Source organism: Homo sapiens, chromosome 22, assembly GCF_000001405.40.
Source record: "Homo sapiens chromosome 22, GRCh38.p14 Primary Assembly".
Classification (NCBI taxonomy): domain Eukaryota; kingdom Metazoa; phylum Chordata; class Mammalia; order Primates; family Hominidae; genus Homo; species Homo sapiens.
Window position 1 is genome coordinate 41,450,628 of NC_000022.11, and position 19,839 is coordinate 41,470,466.

The window sequence follows — 19,839 nt, forward strand, 5'->3', positions numbered from 1 at the left end:
ACTGTGAAGTCTAGTAAACAAGGTAAGTAAACAAACCTGTCTTGCTAAGATGCTAAAATGCAGTGTTCAAAGAAAGTAACATTTTAGCTTTGGTGGTGTCAACAGGCCACTCGGGACAGAGCTGATAAGGAATTGAGTGACTGGGAACAGATGGAAATAATCAGAGTCTTTTAAGACAGGAAAATTCCAAGCAAGGCAAAGAATCTTTTCCTTCTATGTCCTTGCTTCAAACTACAATAAAAAAGCTCCAGGTCTGGCTGGGCACGGTGGCTCACGCCTGTAATCCCAGTACTTTGGGAGGCCAAGGCGGGCAGATCACCTGAGGTCGGGAGTTTGAGACCAGCCTGACCAACATGGAGAAAGCCCATCTCTACTAAAAATACAAAATTAGCCGGGCGTGGTGGCACATGCTTGTAATCCCAGCTACTAGGGAGGCTGAGGCAGGAGAATTGCTTGAACCTGGGAGGCAGAGGTTGCAGTGAGCCGAGATTGCACCATTGCACTCCAGCCTGAGCAACAAGAGTGAAACTCCATCTCAAAAAAAATATTTTAAAAAAACCCCACAAAACAAAAAAAAATGCTACAGGTCAGGGCTGGGCGTGGTGGCTCACACCTGTAATCCCAGCACTTTGGGAGGCCAAGGCGGGCGGATCACCTGAAGTCAGGAGTTTGAGACCAGCCTGGCCAAAATGGTGAAACACTGTCTCTATTAAAAATAAAAAAAATAAAATAAAAAAAAAAACTAGCCGGGCTTGGTGGTGGTTGCCTGTAATCCCAGCTACTCAGGAGGCTGAGGGAAGATAATTACTTGAACCCAGGAGTCGGAGGTTGCAGTGAGCTGAGACTGCGCCATTGCACTCCAGCCTGGGCGACAGAGTGGGACTCTTGTCTCAAAAAAAAAAAAAAAAGAAAAAGAAACCCTGTCTCTACTAAAATACAAACAATTAGCCGGGCATGGTGGCACGCGCCTGTAGTCCCAGCTACTAGGGAGGCTGAGGCAGGGGAATTGCTTGAACCCGGGAGGTGGAGGTTGCAGTGAGCGGAGATTGTGCCACTGCACTCCAGCCTGGTGACAGAGCAAGACTCCATCTCAAAAAAAAAAAAAAAAAAAAAAAAACACACAAAAAAAACTACAGGTCAGAATAGAGTGACACATAGTCTCTCTGAAATTTAGTCAGTTCAGTTTCATTCCCTGGGAAGTTAATTTTAATTTAGAAGCTGCTAATTGGCAGGCCAAGGTCCACATCTGGCAGATTTATTTTCTTGGCATATACTGACATATTACAGTTTTAAAAGTGAGTTGCCAATGTTGAAAATTTGGGATATTGTACAAAAATATCCTAAGTTGCCACTTGTCCTAAATTCAAAATATCTGGCAACACTGGGCATTCAAACTGGCAGGAATTGTCTGGAGTTGAATAGCAGCTGTCTCCTTTAGACAGGGCTTGTGTTCTCTGGTTGCCTAAGGTCCCCACTACTCCCCTATTGTGTCCCACACAACGAGGCTGAGGGTCACATACCATTTATCATCACACTTGGGCTATTCTTCTTTTACCCCTCCCTTTTCAATCAATGATATTACTCACCCAGACTCCTGAGTTTGTGACCCCTTTTTCAGTTTAATTTAGCAAATAATTGTTGGAGTGGTTGCCTATTGTATGCCCTGCGTGGAAGGAGAGGCAAAGGGAACTCAAGGATCTTATTTATGATCTAGTTAGTTGTGAGTGTTGTTGTTTTTTAATAGACACAGGGTCTTGCTAGGTTTGTTGGCCAGGTTGGTCTTGAACTCTTGGCCTCAAGCAATCCTCCAACCTCCCAAATTGCTAGGATTACAGGTGTAAGCCACTGTGCCTGGCCTAGTTGATTTTATTTTTATCCCCTGTCCCGCCAACTCCATCCCCAAGCAGCCCCTCTTCTAGTTAATTGTTTTAAAACTTGAGGTTGTCGTCCATTAGTGGGGGTCATAAAATTACCCAGTTTAGGCCGGGCACCGTGGCTCATGCCTGTAATCTCAGCAGTTTGAGAGGCCAAGGCGGGCAGATCACGAGGTCAGGAGTTGGAGACCAGCCTGGCCAACGTGGTGAAACACCATCTCTACTAAAAATACAAAAATTAGCAGGGCGTGGTGGCAGGCACCTGTAATTCCAGCTACTCAGGAGGCTGAAGCAGGAGAATCGCTTGAAACCTGAAGGCAAAGGTTCCAGTGAGCCAAGATCACGGCACTGCACTCCAGCCTGGGCAAAAGAACGAAACTCCATCTCAAAAAACAAAGAAACAAAATCCAGTTGAATGGATTTCAGTCAGGAATTTTAGAATAGAATGAAAGAAAATGAAAATATCAGGCCAGGCATAGTGGCTCATGCCTATAATTTCAGCACTTTGGGAAGCCGAGGCAGGCGGATCATAAGGTCAGGAGTTCGAGACCAGCCTGGCCAATATGGTAAAACCCTGTCTCTACTAAACATACAAAAATTAGCCGAGCATGGTGGCGGGCGCCTGTAGTCCCAGCTACACAGGAGGCTGAGGCAGGAGAATCGCTTGAACCCGGGAAGTGGAGTTTGCAGTAAGCTGAGATCACACCACTGCACTCCAGCCTGGGTGACAGAGTGAGACTCTGTCTCAAAAAAAAAAAGAAGAAAATGAAAATATCAGATTATAGCATGCACAGTAATATTGTTTCATGAAACTTTTGTTTCGGTTGTATGTAGGTACTAGACATGAAAATAATGCAAATGATAGAAATTGTTGTGGGGTATGGTGCTTCTGGAAGCTTTCATGAGATGTCAGGGGCTTGAAAGGAAGAGGTATCCATTTGGCCAGTAGATAGGAAGGTAGAAGGGTATTTCAAACAAAGGAAACAGACAGCCATGGAAAAGGCAGCGAGTATTCAAGGGATGTCCCTTCAACTGCCTGATGGAGTGAGGAGCACAGATAGAAGTCAAGTAAGGAGGCCGGGCGTGGTGGCTCATGCCTGTAATCCCAGCACTTTGGGAGGCCAAGGCCGGGGGATCACCTGAGGTCAGGGGTTTGAGACCAGCCTTGCCAACATGGGGAAACCCCATCTCCACTAAAAATACAAAAATTAGCTGGGCGTGGTGGCACATGCCTGTAATTCCAGCTACTCGGGAGGCTGAGGCAGGAGAATTGCTTCAACTCAGGAGATGGAGGTTGCAGTGAGCCGAGATTGAGCCACTGCATTCCAGCCTGGGTGACAGAGCAAGATTCTGTAAAAAAAAAAAAAAAAAAGCTGGGCGAGGTGGCTCACGCCTGCAATCCCAGCACTTTGGGAGGCTGACTGCTGTCTCTACTAAAAACACAAAAATTGGCTGGGCATGGTGGCACGCGCCTGTAATTCCAGCTACTTGGGAGGCTGAGGCAGGTGAATCGCTTGAATTCAGGACGTGGAGGTTGCAGTGAGCCCGGATCCTGTTACTGCACTCTAGCCTGGGTGACAGAGCAAAACTCCGTCTCAAAAAAAAACAAAAACAAAAAAGCCTGTGATCCTAGCACTTTGGGAGGCCATGGCTCAGGAGTTTGAGACCAGCCTGGGCAACATGGTGAAACCCTGTCTCCACTAAAATATGAAAAATTGGCCGGGCGTGGTGGCCCATGCCTGTAGTCCCAGCTACTCGGGAGGCCAAAACAGGAAAATCGGTTGAATCTGGGAGGCAGAAATTGCAGTGAGCTGAGATTGCACCACTGCAGTCCAGCCTGGGTGACGGAGCAAGACTTCATCTCCAAAAAAAAAAAAAAAAAAAAAAAGCCAAGAATGGGATTATGAAATTGACAGAGGAGCAGGTTTCAGTGGAATTCACTTGACTGAGGTTGAACTGCTGATTTGAGATGCTACAGGGCATTAATCTTATACATACAGAGGCTGATGGAGTGCAGTTAAGGTGATGTTTTGATGAAACTAAGGAATAGTTTTTGAAACATCTGTAGTTACAAGATGTCATGTGGACCAAAGCAGTTAATAAGTAACTTAAATTTTTTTTTTTACGGAGTCGCTCTTGTTGCCTAGGCTGGAGTGTAGTGGCATGATCTCTGCTCACTGCAACCTCTGCCTCCCGTGTTCAAGTGATCCTCCTGCCTCAGCCTCCGGAATAGCTGGGATTACAGGCTTTCACCACCACACATGGCTAATTTTTATTTATTTATTTATTTTGAGACGGAGTCTTGCTCTGTTGCCCAGGCTGGAGTGCAGTGGCACGATCTTGGCTCACCACAACCTCAGCCTCTCGGTTGGGTTCAAGTGATTCGCCTGCCTCAGCCTCCGGAGTGGCTGGGATTACAGGCATTCATTCGCCACTACACCTGGCTAATTTTTGTATTTTTAATAGAAATGGGGTTTCACCATGTTGGTCAGGCTGGTCTGGAATGTCTCCTGACCTCAGGTGATCCACCAACCTCGGCCTCCCAAAGTGCTGGGATTACAGGCGTGAGCCACAGCGCCTGGCCAAAAATTTTTGTTAATTTTTTTTTGTTGTTGTTGTTATAGACAAGGTTTCATTTTTTAAGAGACAGGGTTTCATTTTGTCACTCAGGCTAGAGTGTAGTGGTGCCATTGTAGCTCACCGTAACCTCGATCTCCTGGACTCAAGTGATCCACCTCAGCTTCCCAAGTAGCTAGGGCTATATGCACGTGCCACCACACCTGGCTAATTAAAAAAAAATTTTTTTAGGCCGGGCGCGGTGGCTCACGCTTGTAATCCCAGCACTTTGGGAGGCTGAGGCAGGCGGATCACGAGGTCAGCCTGGCCAACATAGTGAAACCCTGTCTCTACTAAAAATACAAAAATTAGGCTGGGGACAGTGGCTCACGCCTGTAATCCCAGCACTTTGGGAGGCTGAGGCGGGTGGATTGCCTGAGGTCAGGACTTCGAGACCAGCCTGACCAACATGGTGAAACCCGGTCTCTACTAAAAATACAAAAGTTAGCTGGGTGTGGTGGCAGGCGCCTGTAATCCCAGCTACTCGGGAGGCTGAGGAAGGAGAATCGCTTGAACCCGGGAGGCAGAGGTTGCAGTGAGCCAAGATTGCGCCATTGTACTCCAGACTGGGCGACAAGAGCAAGACTTCGTCTCAAAAAAAAAACAACAAAAATTAGCCGGGTGTGGTGGCACATGCCTGTAGTCCCAGCTACTCGCGAGGCTGAGGTGGGAGAACCACTTGAACCCGGGAGGCAGGGGTTGCAGTGAGCTGAGACCATGCCATTGCACTCCAGCCTGGGTGACAGAGTGAGACTCCATCTCAAAAAAAAAAATTTTTTTTTTTTTGTAGGGACAGGGGCCTCACTATGTTGCCAAGGCTAGTCATAAACTCCTGGCCTCCCAAAGTACTGGAATTAACAGGCATGCGCCACCATGCCCGGCTAATTTTTGTATTTTTAGTAGAGACAGGGTTTCTCCATGTTGGTCAGGCTCGTCTTCAACTCCCGACCTCAGGTGATCTGTCTGCCTCGGCCTCCTAAAGTGCTGGGATTACAAGCATGAGCCCGGACTATTTTTTATTCTTAACTAGGGCTTTTTTGCTTTTTTGCACATTCTAATTACAGTCTGAAAATGATCTGGTCTCTCTACCTCTTTTGAGCTACCACACCTTAGTCAGTTTTCTTTTGCTTGTAATACCTAAAACTATGTTATTTATAAAAAGAGAAATTTATTTCTTATAATTCTGGAGGCTGGGAAGTCCCAGGTTGAGGGGGTACATTTAGTGAGAGCATTCTTGCTGGGAGGTGGCACAGGGCATCACATGGCAAAGGGGCTGAGAGTGCTGGCTCAGTCTCTCCTCTTACAAAGCTATCGGTCCCGGCCGGGCGCGGGGGCTCACGCCTGTAATCCCAGCACTTTGGGAGGCCGAGGCGGGTGGATCATGAGGTCAGGAGATTGAGACCATCCTGGCTAACACGGTGCAACCCCATCTCTACTAAAAAAATACACAAAAATTTAGCCGGGCGTGATGGCGAGCGCCTGTAGTCCCAGCTACTCAGGAGGCTGAGGCAGGAGAATGGCGTGAACCCGGGAGGTGGAGCTTGCAGTGAGCTGAGTTCGCGCCACTGCACTCCAGCCTGGGCGATGGAGTGAGAGTCTGTCTCAAAAACAACCACCACCACCACCAAACAGCTATTTTTGGGCTATCGGTCCCATTTATATGATAACCCATTAATCCATTAACAGTGAAAGGATGGGCTGGGTGCGTTGGCTCATGCCTGCAATCCCAGCTCTTTGGGAGGCCGAAGTGAGTGGATCGTTTGAGGTCAGGAGTTCAAGACCAGCCTGGCTAATATGGTGAAACCCTGTCACTAATAAAATTACAAAAATTAACCAGGCATGGTGGTGAACACAAAAATTAGCTGGGCATGGTGGCACGTGCCTGTAGTTCCAGCTACTCAAGAGGCTGAGGCAGGGGAATTGCTTGAACCTGGGAGGTGGAGGTTGCAGTGAGCTGAGATCATGCCACTGCACTCCAGCATGGGTGACAGAGACGCCGGCTCAAAAAAAAAAAAAAAAAAAAAAAAGTGAAAGGATGAATCCCCTCATGCGGGCAGAGCCTTCATGACCCAATCATTTCTTGAAGGTCCCACTTCTGAATACTGCCACATTGGGAATCAAGTTTCAACATGAGTTTTAGAGGGGACAAACATTCAAACCATAGCAATCACCTCACTGATGCATTAGAATTGCTCAGAGCTCCCTACACACATCGCCCTAGGCTGGGGGTGGTGGCTCATGCCTATTATCCTAACTTTGGAAGCCAAGGCAGGCAGATCGCTTGACCTCAGGAGTTCAAGACCAGTCTGGCCAATATGGTGAAACCCTGTCTCTACAAAAAAAAAAAAAAAAAAAAAAAAAAAAAAAAAAAAAAAGCTGGGCATGCTGGTTCACACCTCCCAGCTACTCAGGAGGCTGAGTTGGGAGGATTGTTTGAGCCCAGGGGGTCGAGGCTGCAATGAGCCGTGTTCATGACACTGCACTCCAGGTTGGGGGACAAAGTGAGACCATATCCGAATCAATACATATCACCCTGTTCACGACTGTCTTTGCTCAAGTTGATGCCCCCCCCAACAAATGCCCTTATTTGCCTACTGCACCCTTTGCCTGTAGGTTCTGACATATCAAAGTCCAGTTTATTATCCAGTTTCCTTGACTTCAAGCATTCATTCAATACTGAACACCTACCTGCTACCTACTGGGCAAAACAAACTTGCTTCCTGCTCTTGTAGACACGGTCGTAGGTTACTTTCACTAATCACCAAATGCTTTAAGAAAACACATAGGGTTGGGTGTGGTGGCTCACACCTGTATTCACAGCACTTTGGGAGGCTGAGGCAGGAGGGTAACTTGAATCCAGGAGCTTGAGACCAGTCTGGGCAACACAGCGAGACCTTGTCTCTATAAAAAATACAAAAAACAGGCCAGGCTTGGTGGCTCACGCCTGTAATCCCAGTACTTTGGGAGGCCAAGGTGGGCGGATCACGAGGTCAGTTCAAGACCAGCCTGGCCAACACAGTGAAACCCCATCTCTACTAAAAATACAAAAAATTAGCTGGGTGTGGTGGCGTGCATCTGTAATCCCAGCTACTAGGGAGGCTGAGGCAGGAGAATCACTTGAATCTGGGAGGTGGAGGTTGCAGTGAGCGGAGATTGCGCCACTGCACTCCAGCCAGGGCAACAGTGCAAAATTCCATCTCGAAAACAAAAACAAAAAACTAGCTGGGCAGGGTGGTGCATGCCTGTAGTCCCAGCTATTCCAGAGCCTGAGGTGGGAGGATTGCTGAGTCTGGGAAGTAGAGGTTGCAGTGAGCTGAGATCGTGCCACTGCACTCCAGCCTGGGTGACAGAGATGCCGTCTCAAAACCAACCAACCAAACCAAAAAACCACATAGGATGCTAAGTGGGAGTACAAGGGGAACTTAGATTAAGGGTCCGGAGAGGCATCTTTGAGGAAATATTTGGCTAAGGTCAGAAGGGAGTAGGGGTTAGCTGAGTAAAAGGGAGGGGGGCACAAGCATTCTAGAGGGATCAACATGTTAAAAATAAACCCAAAGCAGAAGCCAAAAGGAAAGCAGCAGTTGTGGAACTGAAAAGGAGCCTATGGCTGCAGTGCAGAGAAAGGGGTGGCCAAAAGCGCCCGGAAAGTGCTGTAGTCCTATGGCCATGGCCTTCCCCTGCCTTCCTGTGGTACCTCCAAGCTAGGCCTAGAACCCTTCCTTTGTGCATCCTCTGGGTTATACTGGAACCTTTTTTTGTGTGTGTGTGAGATGGAGTTTCACTCTTGCTGCCCAGGCTGGAGTGCAATGGCACGATCTCGGCTCACTGCAACCTCTGCCTCCTAGGTTCAAGCAATTCTCCTGTCTCAGCGTCCCGAGTAGCTGGGACTACAGGCGCACAGTGCCACCATGCCTGGTTAATTTTTGTATTTTTAGCAGTGACGGAGTTTTGCCATGTTGGCCAGCCTGATCTCGAACTCCTGGGCTCAAGTGATCCGCCTGCCTTGGCCTCCCAAAGTGCTAGGATTACAGGTGTGAGCCACCGCGCCCAGCCCATCTTTTTTTTTTTTTTTTGAGGCAGTCTTGCTCTGTCACCCAGGCTGGTGTGCAGTGGCGGGATCACTGTTCACTGCAGCCTCAATCTCCAAGGCTCAAGGGATCCTCCCATCTCAGCCTTCTGAGTAGCTGGGACTAAACTACAGGTGCATGCCACTATACCTGACTAGTTTTCATATTTTTCATAGAGATGGGTTTTTGCCATGTTGCCCAGGCCGGTCTTGAACTCCTGGGCTCAAGATCCGCCTGCCTGAGCCTCCCAAAGTGCTGGGATTACAGGCATGGGCTACTGTGCCCAGCCTCCACCATAACTGGAAGCTATCTCTTCAGTTCAAAATTAAAGTTGGACAGGAAGGAAAAAATAGTACGTTTCTAAAGATGACTTTGATCTATCTATAATGAAAGGTATGGGTGGTTTTGAATTCCTTCCAGTGGTAATAAGAGGACAAAGTACTTAACCAATCCCACTACCTCTGTTTTGAATCACAAATTCCTGGGTGACTAAAATAAATTCCTAGAGTTAAAGTTAAATGGGGAAGGTGACTACCAGAAAATAAACACCAACTTTATTAATATAATAGCAACAGAAAGAGTTTCCAATTTCTCAAAAGGAAAATAATATGAGACTAGTGGGCTATGATGATGCCTGTGAATAGCCAGCTACTGTACCCCACTGTAGCTGGACAAGTGTTAAACAAGTAAATGCCTTTCAAGAGGGCAGAGCCCTGCCCCCCCACCCCCCCCCCAAAAAAAACGGGAAATGCCTACATTTCTTGTTCTGATAGCTTCCCACCACACACCAAAGGTTCCTCAAGGACAGCTGCCACCAGAGCTGCTGCAAGAACATGTTTTTCACTGGGCGTCGCTTCACAGTCAGTTCCTCAAGCAGAAGACTAAAATATTATTTCTTTTTAGAAGATCTTGGTTGAGGGAGAACATACCAATATGGAGAACAGATCTTTGCTTCTCGAATTCAAGAAAAACCATTAACTAATCTATCAAGTTTTCTCCGATATGGTGTGCCAGAGTGCTCTGTGAAGAATCCTTTTCCATCCCTACCACGTGTCTGGGTGAAGGGAGAGGAGGGGGTGGCAAGCTGCCAGTACACTAGCAGGCACTCCTGGTGATGCTCTGGGCTCTGCTCCCTTTCTGCTGGTAGTAGTAGGCATGTTTTCTGGCAGCTGCAGCAGACTGATGTTGGGGGGAGGAAGGGGCCACCCACCAATCACCTCTTCTTGAAGCCGTATTTTTTGCGTTCATAGAAGAGGTCTGTCTTAGAGCTCCCCAGATTGACAATCTTTGGGCAGCCATCTCTCTGGAAAACAGAACAGAGAAGTTGTTAAGTCTTTGAGCCTGAACCAAGAGTGACTTAAGATAAAAAATTTAAGCCCAGTGTGGTAGCATGTGCCTTTAGTCCCAGCTACTACTCGAAGGCCGAGGCAGGAGGATTGCTGAAGCCCAGGAGTTCGAGACTAGTGGGCTATGATGATGCCTGTGAATAGCCAGCTACTGTACCCCACTGTAGGCAACATAGCGAGACCCCCATCTCTTGAAAAAAAAAAAATTGGTCACAGAGTTCAAATTCTCATCTTAGTATTTGAAGAACTCAATAAATGGGTTTGTAAATGTGTCCAAACACCAGTTATCTCCTTAATTGGGAGGCCCAGATCAGCACTGTTTCTTCCCTATCTCTTAGCACTTATGAAAGATCATTTATAGGCCGGGCACGGTGGCTCATGCCTGTAATCCCAGCACTTTGGGAGGCCGAGGCAGGTGGATCACCTGAGGTCAGAAGTTCGAGACCAGCCTGGCCAACATGGTAAAACCCCGTCTCTACTAAAAATACAAAAATTAGCCAGACGTGGTGGTGCGTGCCTGTAGTCCCAGCTACTCAGGAGGCTGAGGCAGGAGAATCGTTTGAACCCAGGAGGCGGAGGTAGCAGTGAGCTGAGATCACGCCACAGCACTCCAGCCTGGGTAACAAGAGAGAAACTCCATCTCAAAAAAAGAAAAAAAGACCATTTTATAACCTTTGGATTAATGGTTTAGCCATTTATCTTACCAATTATCCTATTTGATCTATCATCAATAATTTACTAAACACCTAAGAATGTGCTCAGGGCCTGCCTACCCTCTATCCAATGACTTGCAATTCATGTAGAATGCTGGATTCTCAGCCATGTCTGCTGCTATGACACAGTTGAGGTAGACTATGAAACTCTTTTTTTTTTTTTGAGAAGGAATCTCGCTCTGTCGCCAGGCTGGAGTGCAGTGGCGCGATCTCGGCTCACTGCAACCTCCGCCACCCGAGTAGCTGGGACTACAGGTACACGCCGCCATGCCCGGCTAATTTCTTTTGTATTTTAGTAGAGACAGGGTTTCACCATGCTGCTCAGGCTGGTCTCAAACTCCTGAGCTCAGGCAACCCGCCTGCCTCAGCCTCCCAAAGTGCTAGGATTACAGGCGTGAGTCACAGTGCTCGGCCATACCTTATATTTTATTTTTTTTTGAGACGGAGTCTTGCTCTGTTGCCAAGCTGGAGAGCAGTGACATGATCTCGGCTCACTGCAACCTCCGCCTTCCGGGTTCAAGCAATTCTCCTGCCTCAGCCTCCCGAGTAGTGGGGAGTACATGCACCCGCGACCATGCCCAGCTAATTTTTGTATTTTTAGTAAAGATGGGGTTTCACCATGTTGGCCAGGATGGTCTTGATCTCTTGACCTCCTGATCCACTCACCTCGGCCTCCTAAAGTGATGGGATTTCAGGCGTGAGCCACCGTGCCTGGCCCTTACATTTTAAATACCATAGGAGACTAATGGGTTTTATGTGTCTTCATTAATTCACTTAATTTGACACATGGTCTTGGGGGTACAGAGCACTACTGGCTAGAGATAGATGGCTGTTGACAGACCATGCACTAATTTGTCATGACAGGCTGCCCTGGCCATTTGATGAGCTTGAGTGCTTTCAGTGAAGCCCCTGGGAAGCTGTGTTATATAGAAATGATGACTCCATCAGTTGATTAGGGATGATGGGAGAAAAACCGGGGAAGCTGTAACTGGAAAACCCTTACAGGTCTGTTGATTTTATTAAACACCCATGTCAGAGTTTGAGTCCTGTGATATTAGGTGATAGTATGAATTAATCAAGTCCTTAGCCATCTCATTTCTAACTCAACTAATATCCTTCTTTGGGGGCAGACATCAACAACTACAAAAATCTCTGCAACTAACACTAACATTTTAGGATCTCCTAGAAAAGAAGTATCGAGTCATTACATTGAGCACTTCCATCTCTGAAGCCTGGTGTACCAAGGAAGCCGCCTACCAATAGCTTGCTAGGTGAACCCAAGTAAGCAACGTAATCTATATTTCATGTCCTCGTAAAAATGAGGCACTAGCTGCCTCTCCTGGACAAAGGCCTGATATTAGACATAATAACAGGACTCTCAACTCTTTAGAGAGGCTATGAAACTCATGATATGATGATAGCTTAAACTGTGCCTTACTGACTTGTGCAAATGTGGGCAAGTTGCTTCTCTTGGGACTTATATTACTCCTCAGCTGCAAAAGAAGAAGACTGGATCAGGTCAAGGTTTACAAACTATCCTTATAGATACCCAAATATTCCTGGAAGGTACCAAGTAATGGTATGACCCAATCCTCCAATCTGCACAGCTCTGTTCTTTACTTACGGGTTAGCTTTTTTTTTTTTTTTCTGAGGTGAAGTCTCATCTGTCGCTCAGGCTGGAGTGCAGTGGCGCTATCTGGGCTCACTGCAACCTCTGCCTCCTGGGTTCAAGCAATTCTCCTGCCTCAGACTCCTGAGTAGCTGGGATTACAGGCACCCACCACCGCACCCAGCTGGTTTTCGTATTTTTAGTAGAGATGGGGTTTCACCATGTTGGTCAGTCTGGTCTCGAACTCCTGACCTCATGATTCGCCTACCTGGGCCTCCCAAAGCGCTGGGATTACAGGCGTGAGCCACTGCCCCTGGCCTACTTACAGCTTAGCTTTAAGATGGTAGGCTCCTGCCCAGCCCCAAAATTTAATTAATTTACATTAACTTTTAACCTTTCTCCTTAGGGGTGCAATGATGAGAAAAAAAAAATAAAAGGTTAAGAAACACTGAGTCACGACGGGCGTGGTGGCTCACGCCTGTAATCCCAGCACTTTGGAAAGCCGAGGCAGGCAGATCACCTGAGGCCAGGAGCTTGAGACCAGGCTGACCAATATGGTGAAACCCCATTTCTACTGAAGATACAAAAATTAGGCTGGACACGGTGGTCCATGACTGTAATCCCAGCAACTTTGGGAGGCCAAGGTGGGTGGATCACAAGGTCAGGAGTTCAAGATCAGCCTAGCCAACATGGTGAAACTCTGTCTCTACTAAAAACAAAAAATTAGCCAGGCGTGGTGGTGCACGCCTGTAATCCCAGCTACTCAGGGGGCTGAGACGGAAGAATTGCTTGAACCCAGGAGGCATAGGTTGCAGTGAGCCAAGATCACACCACTGCACTCCATCCTGGGAGACACAGTAAGACTCTGTCTCAAAAAAAAAAAAAAAAAAAAAAAGCCAGGCATGGTGGCATGTGCCTGTAATCCCAGCTACTTGGGAAGCTTAGGCAGGAGAATCGCTTGAACCTGGGAGGCGGAGATTGTAATGAGCCGAGATCGTGCCATTGCACTCCAGTCTGAGTGACAAGAAAGAAACTGCGTCTCAAAAAAAAAAAGAGTCAGACCACCTAGGCCCTAGTCCTGGGTCTGTCACTTATTAGCCACGTGACCTTGGGCTAACCAAGTTGCTTAACATCTCTAAGCCTTAGCATCCTCATCTGTATCACACAGAACTTTTGGAAAACAATGTTCAGCTAAGTACCTTGCATATATTAAGAGCTTCATAAATGTTAGTGCTATTTTTCTTATTTTCTGGTTGGGCGAACTGAGGAAAATGGTAAACAAAAGGAATAAAGGAATCAAGATTAAGGGGATTACATGATGTGGCACCATAAGAACCTACAAATCAGTCCTCTGGTAGCAATGTCCATAGACATCATCCCTGTCTCCTGGTTATTCTTGTGGCTTTGAAAAATTATAAATGAGAATACCTAGCTTAGCTTACCTGTCTAATTCCCTTATCAATTATGAAAGTTGCAGGAAGACAATAATAACAAGGGGTACCTTGGTTGTAGGAAGGTTTCTGCATAGGAAAGAGCCTCGGCCACTTAATCTACATGATGATCTGTAAGGCTGAGAGCCTGGATCATGTCACTGGACTTCTTTGTGTTCCTTGGAAACTAGTGCTGAAAATGTGAGCTAGATTCCATCTCAAATGTCCTCAGAACATTCGTGTATAATGTGAAGTAGGGGAAGTGACATCTAGAATAAGTCTCAGGGACAGAATGAGGCATGAGGATCCAAAGGTATCAGTTCACACACCACATTCAGAGGAGTCAGACAGCAATTAACATTTATTAAGCATTCTCTGGTTGCAAGCTTACGCTACATAAGAACTCTAGCTAGACCCATGCAAAAATTCAAGAAAATGCTGTCTTAAATGGCTTAAACAGATATCCTGTATCTAGTTTAGGAACTGTTTGTTACTTTTCTTCACTGCTGTTACCTTATCATGCTTTCACTGCTTATAGACCAGAAGTAATTAACAAACACCTACTATGTGCTAGACACCCTACAGGGGATACCTCTGGATGACTTACAGGGACAGCACCAAAATACAAGTACCATGCTTGCACCGCATGTCAGGCACTGTATCATGACCTAAAGAAAAGGAGAGGCAAATAGACAAACCAAAGTCCTGCCTCTAATGAAGTGTAATCTAGCTAGTAGACTAGATTTGGATTTTCGGACAGCAGAATGTGACTTGATAGTTGAAGGTAAATGCAAATCAGAGTTGAGGACAAGAGAAAGGTCCAAATCATTATGTTTTTGGTACTTCAGGACCTTTCTCATCTCCCTAAACAACAGAAGATTCAATGGTGTACTCACTTTTTTTTTTTGAGAAGGAATTTCGCTCTTGTTGCCCAGATTGGAGTGCAATGGTGTGATCTCGGCTCAGCTGACTGCAACCTCTGCCTCCTGGGTTCAAGCGATTCTCCTGCCTCAGCCTCCCAAGTAGCTGGGATTACAGATGTGTGCCACCACGTATTTTTAGTAGAGACGGGGTTTCACCATGTTGGCCAGGCTGCTCTCAAACTCCTGACCTCAGGTGATCCACCTGCCTCAACCTCCCAAAGTGCTGGGATTGCAGGCATGAGCCACTGTGCCTGGCCCAATGGTGTGGTCTTATCTGGCCCAATCTCTCCCACTTACTGGGGGTAGGCAGGATCCAAGTGCGTGAAATGAGGTACTGGCGTTACTGCCTTCACCATGGGCACATCCCAGAAACACTTGTAAAAGGACAACATAAGGCCAGGCGTGATGGCTCACGCCTGTAATCCCAGCACTTCGGGAGGCCCAGATGGGTGGATCGCAAGGTCAGGAGTTTGAGTCCAACCTGGCCAGCATAGTGAAACCCCATCTCTACTAAAAATACAAAAACTAGCTGGGCATAGTGGCATGCACCTGTAGTCCCAGCTACTCGGGAGGCTGAGGCAGGAGAATCGCTTGAACCCAGGAGGCGGAGGCTGTGGTGAGCCGAGATGGCGCCACTGCACTCCAGCCTGGACAACAAGAGTGAAACTCCATCTCAAAAAATAAATAAATAAATAAATAAATAAAAGGACAACATAGTGAAATAAGGACACTACAAGGTTTAGTTGAACAGCCTGGGCTTGTCAGAGGAACTACAAAATGGGCATCATAATAATAATCCCTATTTCACAAACTTATTGTGAGGAACAAGGTGTGATAACATCTATAAAAGACCTATTCTTCGCTCATGGGAATATGAAGAATTACGCATCTTTTGCCTTATTCTGAATTAGAATTAAATTAGATAACTAGGTACCATCATTAACCTAGTGAGACTGTATCATACTTCCTTTTGTTTTTTGAAGAAAACAAGCTGATTCATAGTTTTCTCCCACAAAGAACCCTGCTGCCAATACTAACCGAAAAAAATGGGGTAAATCTTGCCTGTAGCACTAGTCTATAAGCTCTCTCTCCTGGCATTTGGCTCAGAGTTGAATAGAAAGTAGCCACTGCCACTACACAGTGTCAAGGGACAAAAAAAATCACGATGCAGGTCCACAATCATTTCTGCAATATTAAACCAAAGGCATCTGTTACCTGCTTAAAGCTGAAGTCAACTTGAATTGTCCCAAATTCAACTTTGTCACGATATACACCCAAATAGTGCTTAATGATAGATTTAAGTGGCTATGACACAACATGGGCTGTACAGGACTTATAAACAGACAGGGTCTCTGTCACCCAGGCTGGAGTGCAGTGGCGTGAAAATGGCTCACTGCAGCCTTGACCTCTTGGTCCCAAGTGATCCATCCGCCTCAGTTTCCCAAGTAGCTGCGACCACAGGTACACACCAGCACACCTGACTAATGAAAAATATGTTTTTTTGGCCAGGCGTGATGGTTCATGCCTGTAATCCCAGCACTTGGTGAGGCTAAGGCAGGAGGATCACTTGAGCCCAGGAGTTCGAGACCAACCTAGGTAACAAAACAAGACCCTGTCTCTACAAAAAAAATTTAGCCAGGTATGGTGGCGCATGCCTGTAGTCCCAGCTACTTGGGAGGATGAGATGGGAGGATCGTTTGAGCCCAGGGGGTCAAGGCTGCAGTGAGCCTTGCACATGATCATGCCACTGCACCCCAGCCTGGGCCACAGAGCAAGAGACCCCATCTCAAAAAAACAAAAAACAAGAAGCAAAAAACAAAAAACAAAACACTTTTTTTTTTTTTGAGATGGGATCTTGCTCTGTGGCCCAGGCTGGTCTTTAACTCCTGGACTAAAGTGATCCTCCTAACTTGGACTCCCAAAGTGCTGAGATTACAGGTGTGGGCCACCACGCCCAGCCGGATGTCATTTCTGAATAAGAATAACCACAGAGACATGAATGAGAGGGCTCTCCAAATTGCTGGTCTTGACAAAGATTTGCTTCCCTTGCATTCTTCCCCTTGATGCAAAATAACTGCCTTTTATTGGACTACACCCAGTTTGACTCACAGAACTTGAAGAAATTATAACCTAGATGACTAGATGAACACAGTAATCTCCATAGACCATAGGAGATTGCAGTGGATGGCAAAGTGTTACTAAACAAAAGGAGGAAAGGTCAGATGGAAAGCTGTACACTTACGTCCTTCTCCTGGATGGTGCACTCCTTACAATAATAGGCATCAGAGACCCCAGGTCCTCCACAGATCACACAGCGCCCCTGGTAAGATCCATAGTTACACTCATCACATATGCGCACCAGAGTGCAGGGACGCACATAGGAGTCACAAATCACACACTTGCCATCACCTGTAAGGAAGAGAATGGAGTCATGCTCACAAGTTCTTCAGTCCTCTGCTATCTCCTGCCATGGGGAAATATACTAGTCTCCTGGGAAATACACTAGTCTCCTTTTGACAGTGACTTTAGGGCCCTCCTCTTGGCATCACAAAACTTGGTTTCCCCAGTGTCCATCTCAAGCCCCTCAACACATACAAAAGTTTACCAATTAACATATGTGAAGAGCTTAGAAAAGCACCTCGGAGATGATAAGCCTGTATAATTGCTGGCAAAGTGCTGTGTGTTGGGGAGGGGTCATGCTACTCTGGCGATTCTTCCCGTTGAAAACTAGAGAGATACAGCGTTAAATGTGCAAGCGGCAGTGGGGAGTTAGAGGGGCCTTTGGCTAAAGTGCAGCATTCAGTGTTCACATACTTCCAGGCACATCTACTCAAAGCCCTCTTTGTGGCACTTTTGCTGGTTCCACAGAAAACTGGGAGTGGGAAGGGTGGGTTGTTGGGACGGTGTGTTCCACTCACATTTTTCACACAGTCTTCCGATGGCTGCAAGATGAAAGATGGTAAAAAGTACAATTAGAATAAAGGTTTTGAGAAAGAGGAGAAGTACATCCTCGAGCTGGGGGTAGGGACATGAGTAAGGACTGCAGTGAGTGAGACCTGCGGATAGCCATTTTATCATTACAAATTTCCATATGAACCAAACCTACATCCAAGCACCCTCCTGAATCTCCTCCAACGCCCTGGGCAAGCTCAGAGTTTCTCTGGACCTGGTTCAGACCCCACCCCCCGATACCTGCCTGGGGCTCCCAGCACGCGCACCCCCGCCCTCTTCTCATCAGAGGCCACAAACCTGCGCGCTCCTACAACACCCCGCGCCTGAGAGGCGGGAAACGTGGCGCCTGCGAGGCAAGCCCCTAAGGAAGAGACGGGAACCCCCGACCCCCCAGCTCCTAATACCACCCCTGCCCAGACAGCCAGGGGTAGGGCGCAGTCTCACCAACACCAGCCTGCTTGCGGCAAAAGATCAAATCAGGATGATGTTTAGCCATAGCTCCTAACTAAGCCGGCCACCGGAAGCTTCGGGAACTTCCGTCCGACCTTTAACCCCCATTGTTCCTGCCTCCACGTCGCTGTGATTGGTTCTCTAAGCTTCCGTCAGTTTACAATCCTTGCACCAGGCCCGTCTTGCTCTCGCGCGAGTTTTTGTCGCTGCTGGGCGGCCAGGTCCTGGCAGGTGCATGAAACTCTTAAAAACTCTCCCAGATTTGGATGGCGGAGATAACTAAAATTTGTTCTTGGGTAAAACATCTTTGTGCTTGGTATCTATTTCTGCAAGTGTCTTTGGGCAGTCCGATTTCCTCTTGCGTGTCTGTTCGTTGCACGTGAGCTCCGCCCATTGCGTTCACAGGGTTCTGGCGCCTCTAGGGAGGCCTCGCCTTCACCGTGACGCCCCACTCTTCCGGGCACGCCCCTGCCCAAAGGCTTTAAAGGCGCCGTGTGGGACGTCACTTTAATGCGACCTCATCTTTGTCAGTGCACAAAATGGCGCCCTACAGCCTACTGGTGACTCGGCTGCAGGTGAGCGAGCTCAGGGACCTCTGGGTTCACGGGGGCGGGGTGCCTCCTACTGTGCCGGCGGCTGTGGGCGAGGCAGGGCGAGGCGGGCCCAACCTGGGGCCAACTTCTCGTGTACCTGTCCCGGTTGTGGGCCCGGCACCCGTGCCCGCTTCTCTGGTGCCCTAGGTCAAGGCGTCCCCGGCACAGTCAGCTTTCCTGGCCCTGTCCCTGCCTCGCAAGAAGCGTGGGCCCAAGCAGCGGCGGCCGGGTGAAGAGCGGAGGCACCTCTTTCTTCTTTTTGAGGACAGCATTGCCTGCTCCCGTGGGGTGTGTTTCCATTCCTCAAGGTGAGGACAAGGTGACTAGGGGGCGCGGTCGTTGTTGAGTCTTCTAGGCCCAGTTCCTGAGGCCTCACTTCCCATCTCTTAGCAACAGAGGCATGACAGCATCTACGGTTGCCAGGCCTGGAGTCTGGAGAAGAAACTAGGACCCTGTACCACCTTTTGAGGACCCTGCGGAACGTGGAATGTCGGGGAGGGGGGCGGTCTTCTGGGCCCATACGTAGTAAATAATATAATAATAGTCTCTCACCTTTGCACAAGATTTGAGGCCTGTTTTAATTCTTCATAATATTATTTGATTCCTGTAATCGTAGGAATGAGGTGGTTTTTCTCATTTGATAGATGATAAAGCTGGTAGAAAGTAGGTGAAAGTTCTGATTCTCAAGAGTGTCACCGAAGTGCTGTGGCAGAAGCATGGGCCCTACCACCACTCAGTTCTTGTTTATGTCAGCCTGCCCTCACAGAACTTTATGAACCACGGTGCAATTATTTCTGTTTGTCAGAATGCAGTACGAATATTTTGAGCCTCACAATAAGTTGCTTGTCAAATATGGGAGGATAAGGAGACTCCAGTTTGACCTTGACTCCCCTGTTAGGAGCTATCTAGAAAGCTGACTGACTGCCAGATGATTTTTTCACTTCTAACTTGACAGCCCTGGGAAGGTGTTATACTCAGAGGTTCAATGTCAAATGTGTACTTTGTTAATAAAAATCAAGCAAGCATCTGTAGACATTCTCTGTCAACCTTTCACATTTAACTTTGTGAATTCCTTTTGGATCAAGTGGCGCAACTTTGATAATAGAATTTTACGAGTTGTTATGCGTTGTACTCTCAGGAAGCTTGTGGTACTTGAACTTATTTTTCATCACATTGCTTAAATTTAAACTTGAACTTATTTTTCATCACATTGCTTAAATTGAAACCATATGGTTTAAAGTAAAATCATCATTTATCTGAAAGAAA

General features: G+C 47.2%; 2 protein-coding genes across 2 annotated transcripts in view, besides 4 other annotated features; one reads left to right on the top strand and one right to left on the bottom strand.

The window, feature by feature from the left end:
• Positions 1–9,089: 9,089 nt before the first annotated feature.
• Positions 9,090–18,065, bottom strand: PHF5A (PHD finger protein 5A). Its single transcript, NM_032758.4, has 4 exons — positions 17,975–18,065; positions 17,497–17,520; positions 16,821–16,987; positions 9,090–9,860 (listed from the first exon to the last, which is right to left on the bottom strand). Exons 1-4 carry the CDS (start codon positions 18,024–18,026, stop codon positions 9,771–9,773), a joined length of 333 nt encoding a protein of 110 aa, NP_116147.1. The 5' UTR covers positions 18,027–18,065; the 3' UTR covers positions 9,090–9,770.
• Positions 17,795–18,464: an enhancer, noted in NCBI's record as "active region_19116". NCBI's record gives its function as "activates an Ori minimal core promoter by ATAC-STARR-seq in GM12878 lymphoblastoid cells {active_cell/tissue: GM12878}" and the evidence as "EXISTENCE:reporter gene assay evidence [ECO:0000049][PMID:35858748]".
• Positions 17,795–18,595: a biological region, named in NCBI's record as "NANOG-H3K27ac-H3K4me1 hESC enhancer GRCh37_chr22:41864665-41865226".
• Positions 18,034–18,595: an enhancer, noted in NCBI's record as "NANOG-H3K27ac-H3K4me1 hESC enhancer chr22:41864665-41865226 (GRCh37/hg19 assembly coordinates)". NCBI's record gives its function as "activates a minimal SCP1, AML or CMV promoter by ChIP-STARR-seq in primed H9 embryonic stem cells {active_cell/tissue: H9 hESC(primed)}" and the evidence as "EXISTENCE:reporter gene assay evidence [ECO:0000049][PMID:30033119]".
• The window catches only part of ACO2 (aconitase 2), a 59,858-nt gene continuing 58,508 nt past the window's right edge, over positions 18,490–19,839 (top strand). Inside the window, exon 1 of the mRNA NM_001098.3 lies at positions 18,490–18,555. Coding sequence (NP_001089.1) covers positions 18,520–18,555 — 36 coding nt within the window. The 5' untranslated portion in view covers positions 18,490–18,519. The remainder of the gene's footprint in view (positions 18,556–19,839) is intronic.
• Positions 18,596–19,157: an enhancer, noted in NCBI's record as "H3K27ac hESC enhancer chr22:41865227-41865788 (GRCh37/hg19 assembly coordinates)". NCBI's record gives its function as "activates a minimal SCP1, AML or CMV promoter by ChIP-STARR-seq in naive H9 embryonic stem cells {active_cell/tissue: H9 hESC(naive)}" and the evidence as "EXISTENCE:reporter gene assay evidence [ECO:0000049][PMID:30033119]".